At 42.5% G+C, this 16,760-nt stretch overlaps 1 protein-coding gene across 19 annotated transcripts in view, besides 1 other annotated feature; it reads left to right on the top strand.

Annotated features, from left to right (window-relative positions):
* Nucleotides 1–16,760, top strand: part of SMYD3 (SET and MYND domain containing 3) — a 757,933-nt gene that overhangs the window by 555,426 nt on the left and 185,747 nt on the right. The gene's annotated exons all lie outside the window — the stretch shown is intronic.
* Nucleotides 3,184–3,684: an enhancer, noted in NCBI's record as "H3K4me1 hESC enhancer chr1:246111472-246111972 (GRCh37/hg19 assembly coordinates)". NCBI's record gives its function as "activates a minimal SCP1, AML or CMV promoter by ChIP-STARR-seq in naive H9 embryonic stem cells {active_cell/tissue: H9 hESC(naive)}" and the evidence as "EXISTENCE:reporter gene assay evidence [ECO:0000049][PMID:30033119]".

Below are 16,760 nucleotides of genomic sequence, written 5' to 3'. Positions count from 1 at the left end.
TTTATTTTTTATTAGAAATAACTAATTAAATCTGTATATAACTCAAGAAAAGGAGAACTTGACCTTTTGTTTGTAATAATGAAGAGTAGGGTGACTGGTTGAATCTCACACATGAGAAAGTTGAGACGTTTCTTCTTGGTGGAAGTGATTACTAAGCAGGGATTATGAAAAAGGACAACACAGGGGAAAAGTGGAGAGTTCTCCTGGTCAGATCACAAGCAGCACAGTCAGACTCGTAGGAGGTAGGAATTGACTATATCATGGCAATTGTTTTTTTTTTTTTTTGAGAGAGAGCCTCGCTCTGTCACCCAGGCTGGAGTGCAGGGGCGCGATCTCGGCTCACTGCAAGCTCTGCCTCCCGGGTTCACGCCATTCTCCTGCCTCAGCCTCCCGAGTAGCTGGGACTACAGGCGTGCACCACCTCGCCCAGCTAATTTTTTGTATTTTTAGTAGAGATGGGGTTTCACCGTGTTAGCCAGGATGGTCTCGATCTCCTGACCTCGTGATCCACCCGCCTCAGCCTCCCAAAGTGAGCCACGACGAGTATTTTCAAGAGATCTGACGTGTACTGTGCATCGCGGTAAAGCAGCCATGGAGTGGGTAATTCACCCCCGCATCTTTCTGTAACCAAGGAAGGTAACAGGCTGTCGGCTGCCGTGGACTCCGCTGGTATTTTAAATTATCCATCCCCTGGTTTGCAGGTAATAAGAGTGATGCAGAAACAATGTGCCTCCTTGTTTTTCTTCAGTTCTTGTGTAGTTTCTCTAAATGCCATTGTGTATCCTTCATCACTTACCTTATATGTCCTGTGATCTTGAGAGCTGGTGCTCTCAATAACAAATAGCCAACTAATATGCCGGAGTGTTCAATCCCTAACTCAAAGACTTGTCAGGCTAATGATGAATGACTGTGAAATCCATCCCCAGTTTCCCTACCCAAATTATCTGCGTAAGTGTTTTTACTCTGTTATTTAGAGAGAGCGGTGTGATAGGTGAAAAAGAAATGTGAATTTACGTTTGCAAATAACTAATTTAAACTCTGTGCCAAGGGAAATGGCACTGCTTAACTGAGCATGGATAGAAAATACTGGGAACATATGTGCACAAAGTCACCTCCAGAGTATGGCCACATTTGGCAAGACCACTGACTTGGCATAAGCAGTGTAACTTTATATCGGAGGCATATTTTGGATTTTGAGTGACATATGATAGCATATTCTATGACGACCGACTCGGAATGGTGAAAGCAAAGAACTATGACGCTGAAAGTGGTGGTGAATCCTTCTGGGCAATGTTAAGAGTCAAGAAGGCCAGAGCGAGCCAATCTGTGTAGTGACTGAGGCTCCAAGAACAGGGGGTGGTCAGACGTTCAGGGCCTAGTGTGGCTGTGGTGACACCAACAACCTGTACTCAGATCCTGCTGTTACAGAAAAAAATACTCAGTCCTGTTTGTTAAAGCACAGGACCATGGCGATAGGTACAGGGACCACTGCAACCAGGTCTTGCACTGGGGGAGAAAGATTAGGCTCAGCTCCAAATACATTGTGGGCACGTGGGAATTGGTAGCCAAGGGGCAGTGTGGGGGTCGGTAGATGGAAAATTACCAAGAGGAAATATCCAGGTAAGGGGGATTCTGGCTAACCTCACCTAACAGTATTAGGTCAGGCTTCTTTTACTACTTAATAAAAATGTTTTAAATTTCTTTTTCTTTGGAACCTGTTGCTGGAGAATTAATGTATTTCTTAGTCATATGTCCTTGCTTTTGTCATGTTTCTTGTGTCCTTAAATTGATGTCTGCACTCCTGGTCTAACAATTGCTTCTTCCATTTATTTATTATCCATTTTTAAATTGTTTTATTTATTTTTCGCTTTCTCTTCCACAGACAGTGACTTGTGCTCCTTCCAGTTTTTTAAATTTGCATTCACAGGGGAGGATTTTTCCTGAAGATAGGTCTATAGTGGTGTTTGGGTTGGGCACTGTGTTTTTTAATTTGTTGTTTCTTGGTTGGTTGGGTGGGGGTGGGGGGGGTGGGTTTCTTTTTTTTGGAGACAGGGTCTCACTCTGTTGCCCAGGCTGGAGTCCAGTGGTACAATCTTGGCTCACTGCAACCTGTGCCTCCCAGGTTCAAGAGATTCTTCCACCTCAGCCTCTCAAGTATCTGGGACTACAGGTGTGTGCCACCACGCCTGGCTAATTTTTGTATTTTTAGTGAAGACAGGGTTTCACCATGTTGGCCAGGCTGGTCTTGAACTCCTGACCTCAAGTGATCCACCGCCTTGGCCTCCCAAAGTGCTGGGATTACAGGCGTGAGCCACCGCATCCGGCCTTGGTTGGGTACTTTGGTTTTGGTTCTGGGTGCGCACGGTAGTGTAGTCTCCATATGATTTTTTTTCTTTTTCTTTTTTGGCTGTATCGGCATCCGTGGTGTCTATAATTTCCTCAGTGGCTCTGGGTGGTGTGGTTGTTAGCAGAAGCTGCAGTGAAATTTTGCTGGGGACAGGGACCCCGGGCGCACCAGTCCTTGGGCCCCACGGTGGCGGTGGTGGGCTAAATGTGCCTGTCCTTGGCCTCAAGGCTGTGTACACTGGCATCCACGTTAGCAAGTCTAGGCATGTCAGTTCTTGGGCATCCAGTTGGCTTGCTTGGGTGCTGGTGGTAGGTGGCATCAGTGTGCTGGGTGGGAGGGTCCTTGGGCGTCTGGGCAATGGGCGTGGCATAGGCAATGGCAGTAGCAATGGCAGGAGGATCCCCTGGCTCCCAAGTGGCCAGTGTTGGTGTTGGCTGCACCCGGCTGGGCAGTCCGGTCCTTAGGCCTGCAGTTGGCACATGCAATGGATGCTAGATGTGCTGGTAGCGGCAGGTCGGGCAGGCCCATCCTCAGGCTTGCAGAGGAACTGCTCAGCTGCCCACAGTGGTGGATGGACGGGGTAGGGCAATCCCCAGGCCTTTGCATGGCTTGCCTGGTCACTGGGGCTGGTGGAACTGGGCCAGGTGTCCTGAAGAGTGTGTGCTTTGGTCCTAGGTGGTGGCTGCAGGTGGGTTAACCTGTCCTAGGGTACTTGTATGTGCATGGTGGCCTTGCTGCTGGGGCCACAGGGTCACTGCTAGTGGCTTGTGCTTCAGCCCTGGCAGCAGCAGGAGCCAGCAGTGGCTGTGGTGGAGGATATCAATGGGGCTCCAGGAATGTGGACATTCAAGGGCTATTTGGGGCCCAGGGCAGGATGCTGCCTGGTGGAAGCTGGGCCCTCAAAATGGTGCTGTGCTGTAGCTGCTTAGGACTCGAGCAGTATGTGGGGCCCAGCACAAGCTCCCTCCCTGGAGCAGTGCCACAGCGTGGTCCCCGGGCAGCACTCTGTTAGTCTAAGGACCACAAGGGGCTCTCCTGTGGCTCGGATCACAGGAGTCCATGTGGGAATGTGGACGGCTGGGCATCTCTCACTTACTCTCTCCACACAGTGGGGAGCCTCTTCAGGGTCCCAGCCAAAGAGGCTGCCTTGCTTCCCTCTCCTTTCTTGCCTTAGGCGTCTCCTGTCACTTCCATGTTGAATTCCACTGTTCTCTGTTAGATGATCTGTTCCAGTTGTGATTCCGTCCTGCTGTTTCCAGTTGCGATTCCGTCCTGCTGTTTCGATTCTTCTTTGTGGAGGAAGCAAGTTCCAGATGCATCTTCTCAGTCACCTTGAGGCCCCTCTTACCTAACTGGATTCTTGCTGAAGACAGGCCAGGGTGATCAGACAGCACCCGAGGGTGGTGAAGGATGAGGAACATGAAGATTCTGAGTACCGAGGTTCTGGCGAAACCGGCTAGGCAGGGTTCTTTTGCTAAAACTGGATTTTGAGGAACAACACGGATGGACCTAGGAGATTCAGAGGCGTGAATCTCCTCTGAATTTGGCCAAGTAAAGAATCTCCTCTGAGTTTGGCCAAGTAAAGAATCTTTGTCACTAGTTACGTACACTGTGACTTACTTCTGGAAACCTAGAGGTATATGTAGTGATACTGTATTTCATTAATTCTGAGATATCTGATTTATAATACACAGGCTGACAGTTTAATTGGTAGTGTTTTTTCTTAGTGGTACGTAACATAATGGTGTGGACTGTTTATTGAGTGGGTCTTACAGTTGATCGAACTATGGTAATAATTATGATCTTGCTACCATTTACTAAGCTTCCTATATGCCCTGAGTCATTCCAAGGCCCACATGTATTTTCTCATTTAATCCTCACAATCCCTCCATTTTATAGCTTTCTGGTAAATTCTGGTAATTTATTTCTGGGCTCTTCCTAATAAAATCTCATTAGCCGATGGTTTAGAAATGCAGGCACATTTAACACATTTTACCCCACATAAAGCAACTGAATCCCTGATGTTTTAAAATACGGTGACATGGGGTAGCAGAAGGCATTCACAAAACAGGAAACAATTGGGTTCGTTTTGGGGGGATATGGAGGAGGACCGGGGTAGGAAGGAAGCTTACTTTTCTATTCTGTCTCTGGTTGTGCCGTGTATGAATTCCTGCAAATACTGTGACATTCACATGACAGAGTGCCAAGGCTTCATTTTCTGTTTCTTCCTTTAGCTACTTGCTCTTTTGTAGCCGATTTATCTTTGCAGCCTGCCTTAGGAGAGAATATCTCTCTCTCTGTGGCATTAATTTGGGAATGGCGGCTGGCTATAGTTAGACAATGGGAGAGTGGAAAATTCAAAGGCCATCCATTTTAGTTGACGCTTCCCAGCTGGTCTTCAGTAATCCCCAGCAATTCTTCCTGTGGACGATCTGACAGTACGTGGAGGCCAGCCCGCCTCCCAGGGCCACGGAAGAGCAGCAGACTCATTTGTTTCTAAATTGATCTGGCAGATTCGACGCTGCCCCGCATTATTGCAACTTATGTTTTGACAGAGTGACTTAACAAAGAAATATGGCCAATAGTCAGGAAAATAATCTTTGGCTGAGGAAGGCTAAAATTTGTCAAAATTAGAGAGAAATGGGGAGTTTTTTACATTTTTGTTTTACTTGGGCGGTGAAATAATAGCAACATGATTAAAAGGGACAATTTTTCCTCTTTTCTTCCTAGTGCCTGGCGCTGTGCTTGGTACATAATAGACCCTTAATGAATGAACAAATCTATCCTTCTGATGGGTCTAGTGTACAACACTGTGTTTCAGACCCGACCTTTAGCTTAACCCCCTCCCCACTCTGCCTGTACGTACTTCCTTCATAACTGAGTTTTCTGCAAAGGTTATTTTGACCAAATTTCCTTGATGCGTGAGAACATCGGACCATGTAGCCTCAGAAGCGTCTGTTGAGTTCTCTTACCTTTCTTTCATGAAGATACTGTACTCATAGCTTCTTTGTGAGGGGATTGGAGAACTGGAAGAGGTGAGGTGAAGTGCTTTGAGGCGTGAGTGGCGTGGGAACGTCAGATGTTCCTCTCATGGACAACATATTTGGGATTTAGTGTAAAGACCTGTTTGATAGAAAACAATGTGTTGAGTGGTGTGATTTTTAGGTGGCCTCCACATGCGGTGGAGGAAGGTGGTGGAGGAGAGCTTTGAGGACAAGTAAGTTTGGAACAACTCTGAGACCATCTCTCCTCTCCTGTTCAGATTCTTTGTCACTTGTATTCAGCTCTTCCTGTATCTCCTTTCTGGCTCTTCAGAGAAAAAACCTAAATTGTGGTATTTCAGGCAGTACTATCTTTAATATTGCTGTGCTGTTTCCTTTTTTAAATTTAACTGCGGGGGTGCATGTACAGGACGTTCAGGTTTGTTACATATGTAAACATGTGCCATAGTGGTTTGCTGCAGCTATCACCCCATCACCTAGGTATTAATCTAATCCCAGCGTGCATTAGCTATTTATGCTGATGTTCTTCCGCCCCTCAATCCCCGGACAGGCCCCAGTGTATGTTGTTCCCCTCCCTGTGTCCATGCGTTCTCAATGTTCAGCTCCCACTTATAAGTGAGAACATGTGGTGTTTGGGTTTCTGTTCCTGCATTAGTTTGCTGAGGATATTGACTTCCAGTTCCATCTAAGTCCCTGCAAAGAACATGATCGTGTTCCTTTTTATTACTGTGTAGTATTCCATGGTGTATATGTACCATGATTTTTTTATCCAGTCTATTATTGATGGACATTTAATTCCTTGTCTTTGCTATTGTGAATAGTGCTGCAAAGAAAATAGACATGCATGTATCTTTGTAGTAGAATAACTTATATTTCTTTGGGTATATAACCAGTAATGAGATTGCTGGGTCAAATGGTATTTCTGCTTCTAGGCCTTTGAGGAATTGCCACACTCTTGCACAATGATTGAACAAATTTACATTCTCATCAACCATGTAAAAGCATCCCTATTTCTTTGCAGCCTTGCCAGCATCTGTTGTTTCTTGACTTTTTAATCACCATTCTGAGTGGGTGAGATTCTCATTGTGGCTTTGATTTGCATTTCTCTGATCAGTGATGTTGAGCTTTTTTTCATGTTTGTTGGCAGCATAAATGTCTTCTTTTGAGAAGTGTCTGTTCATGTCCTTTGCCCATTTTTTTAATGGGGCTGTTTGTTTTCTTCTTGTAAATTTGTTTAAGTTCCTTGTAGACTCTGGACATTAGACCATTGTTAGATGGATAGATTGCAAACATTTTCTTCCATTCTGTAGGCTGTTTGCTCTGATGACAGTTTCTTTTGCTGTGCGAAAGCTCTTTAATTAGATCCCATGTGTCCATTTTTGCTTTTGTTGCAATTGCTTTTGATGTTTTCTTCATGAAATCTTTGCCTATGCCTATGTCCTGAATGGTATTGCCGAGATTTTTTTCTGGAGTTTTTTATAGTTTTATGTTTTATATTTATGTCTTTAATCCATCTTGAGTTAATTTTTGTATAATGTGTAAGGAAGGGGTCCAGTTTCAGTTTTCTGCATATGGCTAGCCAGTTCCCCCAGTACCATTTTTTAAATAAGGAATCCTTTCTCCATTGCTTTTGTCAGGTTTATCGAAGATCAGATGGTGGTAGATGTGCAGTCTTATTTCTGAGTTCTCTATTCTGTTCCATTAGTCTATATGTCTGTTTTTGTACCAGTACCATGCTGTTTTAGTTACAGTAGCCTTGTAGTGTAGTTTTAAGTTTGGTAGCATGATGCCTCCGGCTTTGTTCTTTTTGCTTAGGATTGTCTTGGCTCTACAGGCTCTCTTTTGGTTCCATATGGATTTTAAAATAGTTTTTTCTAATTCTGTGAATAATGTCAATGGTAGTTTAATGGGAATAGCATTGAATCTATAAATTACTTTGGGCAGTATGGCTATTTTCATAATAAAGATTTCTCCTATCTATGAGCATGGAATATTTTTCCATTTATTTGTGTCCTCTGATTTTCTTGAGCGGAGGTTTATCGTTCTCCTTGAAGAGATTCTTTATTTTCCTTGTTAGCTGTATTCCTAGGTATTTTATTCTCTTTGTAGCAATTATGAATAGGAGTTTATTCATCATTTGGCTCTCTGCATGTCTGTTGGTGTATAGGAATGCTTGTGATTTTTGCACATTGATTTTTTTTTTAATCCCGAGAGTTTGCTGAAGTTGCTCATCAGCTTAAGAAGCTTTTAGGCTTAGACGATGGAGTTTTCTAGATATAGGATCATGTTATCTGCAAACAAAGACAATTTGACTTCCTCTCTTCCTATTTGAGTACCCTTTATTTCTCTCTCTTGCCTGATTGCCCTGGTCAGAACTTCCAATACTGTGTTGAATAGGAGTGGTGAGAGAGGGCATCCTTGTCTTGTGCCAGTTTTCAAGAGGAATGCTTCCAGCTTTTGCCCATTCAGTATGACATTGGCTGGGTGGGTTTGTCATATATGGCTCTTAATATTTTTGAGTTATGTTCCTTCAATACCTAGTTTATTGAGGGTTTTTACAATGAGGGGGTGTTGAATTTTCTCAAAGGCGTTGTCTGCATCTATTGAGATAATCATGTGGTTTTTGTCACTGGTTCTATTTATGTGATGAATTACATTTATTTACCGATTTGCAAATATTGAACCAGCTTTGCATCCCTGGGATGGAGCCTACTTGATCATGGTGGGTAAGTTTTTTGATGTGCTGCTGGATTTGGTTTGCCAGTATTTTATTGAGGATTTTCACACTGATGTTCATCAGGAGTATTGGCCTGAAGTTTTCTTTTTTTGTTGTACCTCTGCCAGGTTTTGGTGTCAGGATGACGCTGGCCTCATAAAATAAGTTAGCGAGGAGTCCCTCTTTTTCAATTGTTTGGAATAGTTTCAGAATAAATGGTACCACTTCGTCTTTGTACCTCTTGTAGAATTCAGCTGTCAATATGTCTGGTCCTAGGCTGCTTTTGGTTGGTAGGCTATTACTGCCTCAATTTTGGAACTTGTTACTGATCTATTCAGATTCTACTTCTTCCTGCTTTAGTCTTGGGAGGATGTATGTGTCCAGGAATTTATCCATTTATTCTAGATTTTCTAGTTTATTTGCATAGAGGTGTTTATAGTACTCTCTGATGGTTGGTTGTATATCTGTGGGATCAGTGGTGATATCCCCTTTATCATTTTTCATTGTGTCTGTTTGATTCCTCTCCCTTTTTAAGTCTAGCTAGTGGCCTATTTTATTTAAAAAAAAAAAAAAAAAAAACTCAGCCCCTGTATTCTTTGATTTTTTTTTTTTTTTTGGAAAGTGTGTGTGTGTCTGTCCTCAGTTCCTCTCTGATCTTGGTTATTTGTTGTCTTCTGCTAGCTTTGGGGTTTGTTTGCTCGTGGTTCTCTAGTTCTTTTAGTTGTGTGATGTTAGGATGTCGATTTGAGGTCTTTCTAGCTTTTTGATGTGGGCTTTTAGTACCATAAATTCCCCTCTTAACACTGCTTTAGCTCTATCCCAGAGGTTCTGGTACATAGTTTCTTCGTTCTCATTGGTTTCAAAGAACTTCTTCATTTCTGCCTCAATTTCATTATTTACCCAGGAGTCATTCAGGAGCACATTGTTCAATTTCCATGTAGTTGTGTGGTTTTGAGTGAGTTTCTTAATCTTGAGTTCTAATTTGATTGTGCTGTGGTCTGAGAGACGGTTATGACTTTAGTTATTTTGCATTTGCTGATTAGTGTTTTACTTCCAATTAGTAAAACAATTAGAAGGGATCAATTTTAGAGTGAGTGCCATGTGGCACAGAGAAGAATGTGTATTCTGTTTTGGGGGGTTAGAGATTTTTATAGGTATGTCAGATCCACTTATCCAGAGCTGAGTTCAGATCCTGAATAGCTTTATTAATATTCTGTCTTGATGATCTGTCTAATGTTGGCAGTGGGGTGTTAAAGTCTCCCATTATTGTGTGGGAGTCTAAGTCTCTTTGTAGGTCTCTAAGAACTTGTTTTATGAATCTGGGTGCTCCTGTATTGGGTGCATATATAGTTAGGATAGTTAGCTCTTCTTGTTGAATTGAACCCTTTACCATTATGTAATGCCCTTCTTTGTCTTTTTTGATCTTTGCTGGTTTAAAGTCTGTTTTGTTAAAAACTAGGATTGCAATGCCTGCTTTTTTTCTGCTTTCCATTTGCTTGGTAAATTTTCCTGTATCCCTTTATTTTGAGCCTGCGTGTGTCTTTGCACGTGAGATGGGTGTCTTAAACACAGCACACTGATGGGTCTCAGCTGTTCATCCAGCTTGCCATTCTGTGTCTTTTAATTGGGGCATTTAGCCCATTTACATTTAAGGTTAATATTGTTATGTGTGAATTTGATCCTGTCATCATGATGCTAGCTGGTTATTTTGCAGACTTGTTGATATAGCTGCTTCATAGTGTCATCGGTCTGTGTACTTCAGTGTGTTTCTGTAGTGGCTGGTAACAGTTTTTCCTTTCCTTATTTAGTGCTTCCTTTAGGAGCTCTTGCAAGGTAGGCCTGGTGGTGACACATTTCCTCACCATTAGCTTGTGTGAAAAGGATTTTATTTCTCCTTCACTTATAAAGCCTAGTATGGCCAGTTATGAAATTCTGGGTTGGAAATTATTTTCTTTAAGAATATTGAGGCAGGGTGCAGTGGCTTATACCTGTAATCCCAGCACTTTGGGAGGCTGAGGCAGGCAGATCACTTGAGGTCAGGAGTTGGAGACCAGCCTGGCCAACATGTTGAAAACCTGTCTCTACTAAAAATACAAAAAAATTAGCTTGGCATGGTGGCATGCACCTGTAATCTCAGCTACTCGGGAGGCTGAGGCAGGAGAATCACTTGTACCTGGGAGGCAGAGGTTGTAGTGAGCCGAGATTGTTCCATTGCTCTCCAGCCTGGGTGACAGAGTGAGACTCTGTCTCAAAACAAACAAACGAAAAAAATGTTGAATATTGATCCCTAATCTCTTCCACCTTGTAGGGTTTCCACTGAGAGATCTGCTGTTAGTCTGATGGGCTTCCCTTTGTACGTGACCTGGCCTTTCTCTCTGGCCGCCCTTAACATTTTTTCTTTCATTTCAACCATGGAGAATCTGATGATTATGAGTCTTGGGGTTGATCTTCTCATGGAGTATCTTACTGGGGTTCCCTGGATTTTTTGAGTTTGAATGTTGGTCTGTCTTGCTAGGTTGGGCAAGTTCTCCTGGATGATACCTTGAGTTATGTTTTCCAACTCGGTTTTGTTCTCCCCAGCTCTTTCAGGTACCCCAATCATTCGTAGATTTGGTCTTTTTATATAAACCAATAGTTCTTGGAGGTTTTGTTCATTCCTTTTCATTCTTTTTTCTCTAATCTTGTCTACCTGTCTTATTTCAGCAAGACAGTCTTCAAGCTCAGAATTCTTTCTTCCACTTGGTCTGTTCAGCTGTTGTTACATGTGGCTGCATTGTGAAGTTCTCATGTTGTGTTTTTCAGCTCCATCAGGTCATTTATGTTCCTCTCTCAACTGGTTATTCTGCTTAATAGCTCCTGTAATGTTTTATCATGGTTCTTAGCTTCTTTGCATTGGGTTAGAACAAACTACTTTAACTCAGTGAAGTTCGTTATTACCCACCTTCTGAAGCCTACTTTTGTCATTTCATCCAGCTCAGACTCTGCCTAGTTCTGTGCCCTTGCTGGAGAGATGTTGCAGTCATTTGAAGGAGAAGAGGCACTATGGCTTTTTGAGTTTTCAGCATTTTTGCATTGATTCTTTCTCATCTTTGTGGGCTTATCTACCTTTGACCTTTGAGGCTGTTGACCTTTAGGTGGGGTTTTTGTGGAGTCTTTTTTGTTGATGATGATGTCGGTGGTAGTGGTGCTTTCTGTTTTTTTTTGTTTTGTTTTGTTTTGTTTTTTTAACAGTCAAGACCCTCTTCCATAGGGCTGCTGTGGTTTGCTGAGTCCATTCCAGACCGTATTCACCTGGGTGCTTCCTGCACCTGGAGGTATCACCAGTGGAGGCTGCAGAATAGCACAGATGGCTGCCTGCCCCTTCCTCTGGGAGCTTCCTCCCAGAGAGGCACTGACCTGATGCCAGCTAGAATGCTCCTGTCAGAGGTATCTAGTGACCCCAGTTGGGAGGTCTCACCCAGTCAGGAGGCACAGGATGAGGGATATGCTTAAAGAAGCAGTGTGGCTGCCCCTTGGCAGAGCAGGTGCACTGCGCTGGGGGGAGTTCCCCTTGTCCAGACTGCATGGACTCTTCAGAGCTAGCAGGCAGGAAAGACTAAGTCTGCTGAACATAGAGACCATAGCTGCCCCTCCCCCCAGTGCTGTGTCCCGGGGAGATCAGAGTTCTGTCCGTAAACCCCTGGCTGGAGTTGCTGAAATTCCCTGAGGGGAAGGTGAGGAGGGATGGATCTGTGACCCACCTAAAGAAACAGTCTGGCCATGATTTGCCATAGCCGCTATGCTGCACTGTGGAGAATTCCTCCCAGTCCAAACCACCCAGTCTCCCCGGCACCGACTGGAGCCACAGTGATTGCAGCTGTCCCTCTCTCTTCTTCTTTTTCAATGACATGAAGGCCTCCCACAGGAAAAGACTTTCGAACCGTTCTTAAGGGACCAGTGGTATTTCAGTAGCTAGAGGAAGGAGGGGAGAACATTCTAAGCAGTGGGACTGTTCCACCTGGCAGAGACATGAAGGTGTGAAGACAGGAAAACTGAGAGGAAAACATGAGAAGGCAGACACTAGAGAAGAGACTAGAAAAGTTGATGGGGACCAGATCTGGACCCAACAGTCAGCCTGTCTCCTCTAGGCCAGGGTTTGGCTATTTATTTATTTATTTCTTCCTGAGACGGAGTCTTGCTCTGTCGCCAGGCTGGAGTGGAGTGGTGCGATCTTGGCTCACTGCAACCTCTGCCTCCTGGGTTCAAGCGATTCCCCTGCCTCAGTCTCCCGAGTAGCTTGGACTACAGACACCTGCCACCACCATGCCTAGCTAATTTTTTGTATTTTAGTAGAGATGGGGTTTCACCATATTGGCCAGGCTGGTCTCGATCTCCTGACCTCGTGATCCACCCGCCTTGGCCTCCCAAAGTGTTGGGATTACAGGTGTGAACCATGGTGCCTGGCCTGTCTATCTTTTTAAACCGATACTTCTATAATGCTTTCTTAGTCAAGAGGGTCCTGCTAACTAGCTAAGAAGAGTTTGTCAAACTGTATTTTCAGCAATGTCCATTACAAAAGAAAATATGTTTAATCTACTTTTCTAAATTATCTATTTTCTTCACATTCTTTTTTTTTTAAATTTTTTTATTTTTTAATTTTTTTTATTGAGATGGAGTCTCGCTCTGTCGCCGAGGCTGGAGTGCAGTGGTGTGATCTTGGCTCACTGTAACCTCCACTTCCTAGGTTCAGGTGATTCTGCCTCACCCTCCCGAGTAGCTGGGAATATAGCCTCAGGCCACCACGCCCGGCTAATTTTTGTATTTTTAGTAGAGACAGGGTTTCACCATGTTGGCCAGGGTGGTCTTGAACTCCTCTTTTCTTCACATTCTGATGAACTCTTGAGTCAGGAAAGGGGAACCTTCCTTGCAAATTGCTGCAGCAACTCACTGAAGCGGTGTAGGGGCAGTATGCTGGTGTTTTAGCTACTTACCAACTCAGGAATCTGGTCAGGAAAGAGGCTGGGAATGGCACTATTTATGTATTCATGATGGTGACTAGTTAAAAATGGTACCAGAAGAGAAGACAAAAGATCAAATGATATCCTTGCATTGAAATCCCACCAGTCTGATTTGTGTATCTGGCCATCTATAAAAGTGTCTGGAAGAAGAAGGGGAAGAATTATGAGCTACTTCTGTACAAAGGAACAGTGTAGGAGTTGGAATGAAGCCATGATAAATTTCCTCTTTTATTTCTTTCTATATTTCCAAAAATAAAGGAGCATACCTGGAGAGATCAAAAGAGGGGCTGTCTGACCTCAGAGACTCATTTCTTGATGCCTCTTGACTGCATAATTAAAGTTGTGACTCTCTCTCGTCTGATCTGTGTTTGTTCTTCCCTGGCTCCTGCCCACTAGGTTATCGGGCTGTATCCAGGGATCAGGCATGCTTGGGCAACCAAAGAAGGAGTGGCCCCCCAAGGTGCTCCCCATCTAGCCTGTCATTGGCTGCCAGAAACAGCCACGCACTAGTCCCCAAAATACCTTCATGCGGGCCCGCACAGCTTGTACACGAGTCATGCACACTTCAGCTACTGTCATGTGAAATACCTGCTTCTGGGTTTCACTCCCTGAGATGTCAGGCATCATCGGTATGGCAAACCCTTGCCTGCCAAAAGTTCACCCGGAGAGAATATTCACCTTAATTTCTACATAGTGAAAGGAACCTCAGCACGCACTGTATCTTTCATTTGGGGATTACTTTAAGCAGTTGATTAGTGTGCAGTCTTACCTTTCACGTGTAACGTTTTTCTGTAGTTTCCTTTTCTCCATTAATTTGACGGAAAAACAGATAACTTGAGCCACACGCTGCCATATCTAATTCAACTTCAGTCAGGTGCTATGCAGCACCTAGCATACTTGATTTAGGAATTTAGTACTGGGAGTAAGATTACAGTGAGGCGTCCTGGTACTGCTGGGGGTGGATTTCCACACCACTTACTTAGAGAATAATGAAACTAGAGTATCATAGAAGAGAATGTTTTTGAAGATTTAAGCTGAACAAAAGAATCTTTAAGTGCGATACATGGGAGAAAGTTCAGTTCATTGTGATAAACCTTTTGGGTAGGAGCACATCTAAATGAAATTGGTAGATGTGACCGTGGAGCTATGGAAACCTATAATGATGTCTTGTAATAAATTATTGAAGAATTTCTGAGCCTCAGGATATGGGAAGAAAATGAAACAATGAAAATGATGTGTCAGAGCTTTATACCTTCTCTACGTATTTGACAGACATCTGTGGTAAGTGCTTGTTTCATCAGATGGCTTTAAGGAGGTGAAATGCCAGGTAAGAGCCTCAGGGAAGGAACAGTGGACAAATATGTGACTATTTTGCTATTAGCAAGGATAGTTGTTTATAAGTTCTGTTGTGAGTAAAGCTTTTAGAAAATGAAAATCTGTGGATTTTAGAAAGCATGTTATCTAAAGGGGCTTCATTTGCTAACATTTGGCAGTTTGACTGTGGGAGAGAGATAAAATAGAAAGCACAATTTTATGATTGCCATTCCTTATGATATTGGCCTTGATATTGATTTTAGCCTTGACAAGTGATTGTTGAGGATTTTGTGTGTCTAGTGTGCACTGCAGACTTATTTGTGGCCAGAGCTTGAAATGGGACAGACACCACTGCAGTTGTGAAAACAGTTGGATGTATCTCAGTCTAGAAAGACAAATTCCCAAATATATTGTCATGTGTGGTGGGATAAAGAGTTTTCTTAAATAATATTATTATTTTATTTTTTACTTGACTTGTATTACAAAGTGAATTTGTAAAATCTTTAATAATCATAGCATATAAAGACAAATTTTTAGTTTTCTCCTTTATCACGTGATATCGCATGGTTTAACCTGCTGTAAATTAGTTTTGTAAAAACATTATTACCACAACATTTTTTTTTGTGGCGGGGACAGTCATTGGAGTGCAGTGGCGCGATCATGGCTCACTGCAGCCTCAGCCTCCTGAGTAGCTGGACCTACAGGTAGGTGCATGGCATCATGCCCAGCTAATTTTTGTATTTTTTATAGTGGCGAGGTTTTGCCATGTTGCCCAAGCTGGTCTCAAACTTCTGGGCTCAATCGATCCACTTGCCTTGGCCTCCCAAAGTACTGGGATTACAGGAGTGAGCCGCTGCGCCTGGCCTTAATCAACACAAATTTTTAAATGAAATATTATTGCTTTGGGCCTTAGGTTGCATATTGCTTTCATGACCTGATGCTTCACATTCTTATAATTAACTCTTTAAGAAACCAGCTGGATTATGTTTCATGACTTCTATGTTCTTTTTCTCGATTATAAGACAAGAAAGGTTTTAGGTAGCAAAGTGCAAGCACATTCCAAATCACACACTGGGGACTTTCGTGGTCTTCACGCCATCTGCAAAAAAAAAAATAAGATTACGTATTCAGTGTATGTTCTCCTCCTAACATTTTTTCAAATATTAGAGATGTCTTGAGATGCTCTATAAGAATTTCAACCTGGTAAGTCATGATATAAAGCATCTTGAGACAAATTTATAGAATTATCATTTTATGTATTTTCCCTTGTTTTTCAACATCCTTGCTTTCTGTCTTATTAAATTATTTAAAATTTTAATTAACGAATAACAATTGTATATATTTAGAGTACAATGTGAATTTTTGGTAAATGTATACAAGGTGGAATGATTAAATCAAGCTAATTTAGCATATCCCTTACCTCATGTCATTTTTTACGGTGAGGCATTTGAAATTTTTTCTTGGAAACTTTGAAATATATATACAATTTATTATTAACTGTAGTCATCATGCTGTGGTGATCTCAAGAACTTATTCCTCCTGTGAAGAAGGTGAAACTTTGCACCCTTTGACCAACATCTCCCCATTTCTCTCCCCAGCCCATGCCTCTGGTAACCACCATTATACTCTATTACTATGAGTTTGACTTTTTAATATTCCACATATAAGTGAGATCATGGATTATTTGTCTTTTTGTACCTGGCTTAGTTCACTTAACATACTGTCCTCCAGGTTCATCCATATTCTTGCAAATGACAGAATTTCCTTCTTTTTAAGGGCTGAATATTACTCCATTTGTGTATCTATACTACATTTTCTTGATCCATTTGTTGATGGACACTTAGGTCAATTCCATATCGTAGCTAATGTGAAAAATGCTGCAGTGCACGTGAGAGTGGGAGCACGGATATCTCTTATTTTAGTTAGTTGAGTACAGAAATGGGATTGCTTGATTATATGGCAGTTCTATTTTGAGGTTTTCGAGTAACTTCTGTACAGTTTTTCATAATGGCTGGACTAATGTAGACTCCACCAGTGTGCAGGAATTCCCTTGTCTCCACATCCTCACCAAGGTTTATCTTTCATCTTTTTGATGAAACAGGCATGAGGTGATACCTCATTGTGATTTTATTTTGTATTTTCCTAATGATTGAGCATTTGGTGATATTGAGCATTTTCTCATGAATCTTTTGACCATTTATATGTCTTCTTTTGAGAAATGTCTACTCAAATCCTTTGCCCATTTTAAAATTGGGTTGTTTGTTTTCTTGATATTGTGTTGCTTGAGTTTCTTATATATTTTAGGTATTAACCTCTTATCCGTTGTATGGTTTATAAATACTTTCTCCCACTCTGTGGGTTGTCTCTTTCTTGACCATTTCCTG

This window comes from Homo sapiens, chromosome 1, assembly GCF_000001405.40.
Source record: "Homo sapiens chromosome 1, GRCh38.p14 Primary Assembly".
In the NCBI taxonomy this organism is placed as follows: Eukaryota; Metazoa; Chordata; class Mammalia; order Primates; family Hominidae; genus Homo; species Homo sapiens.
Note: the sequence above shows the minus strand (reverse complement) of the source record. Positions and strands in the feature narration are given on the sequence as shown.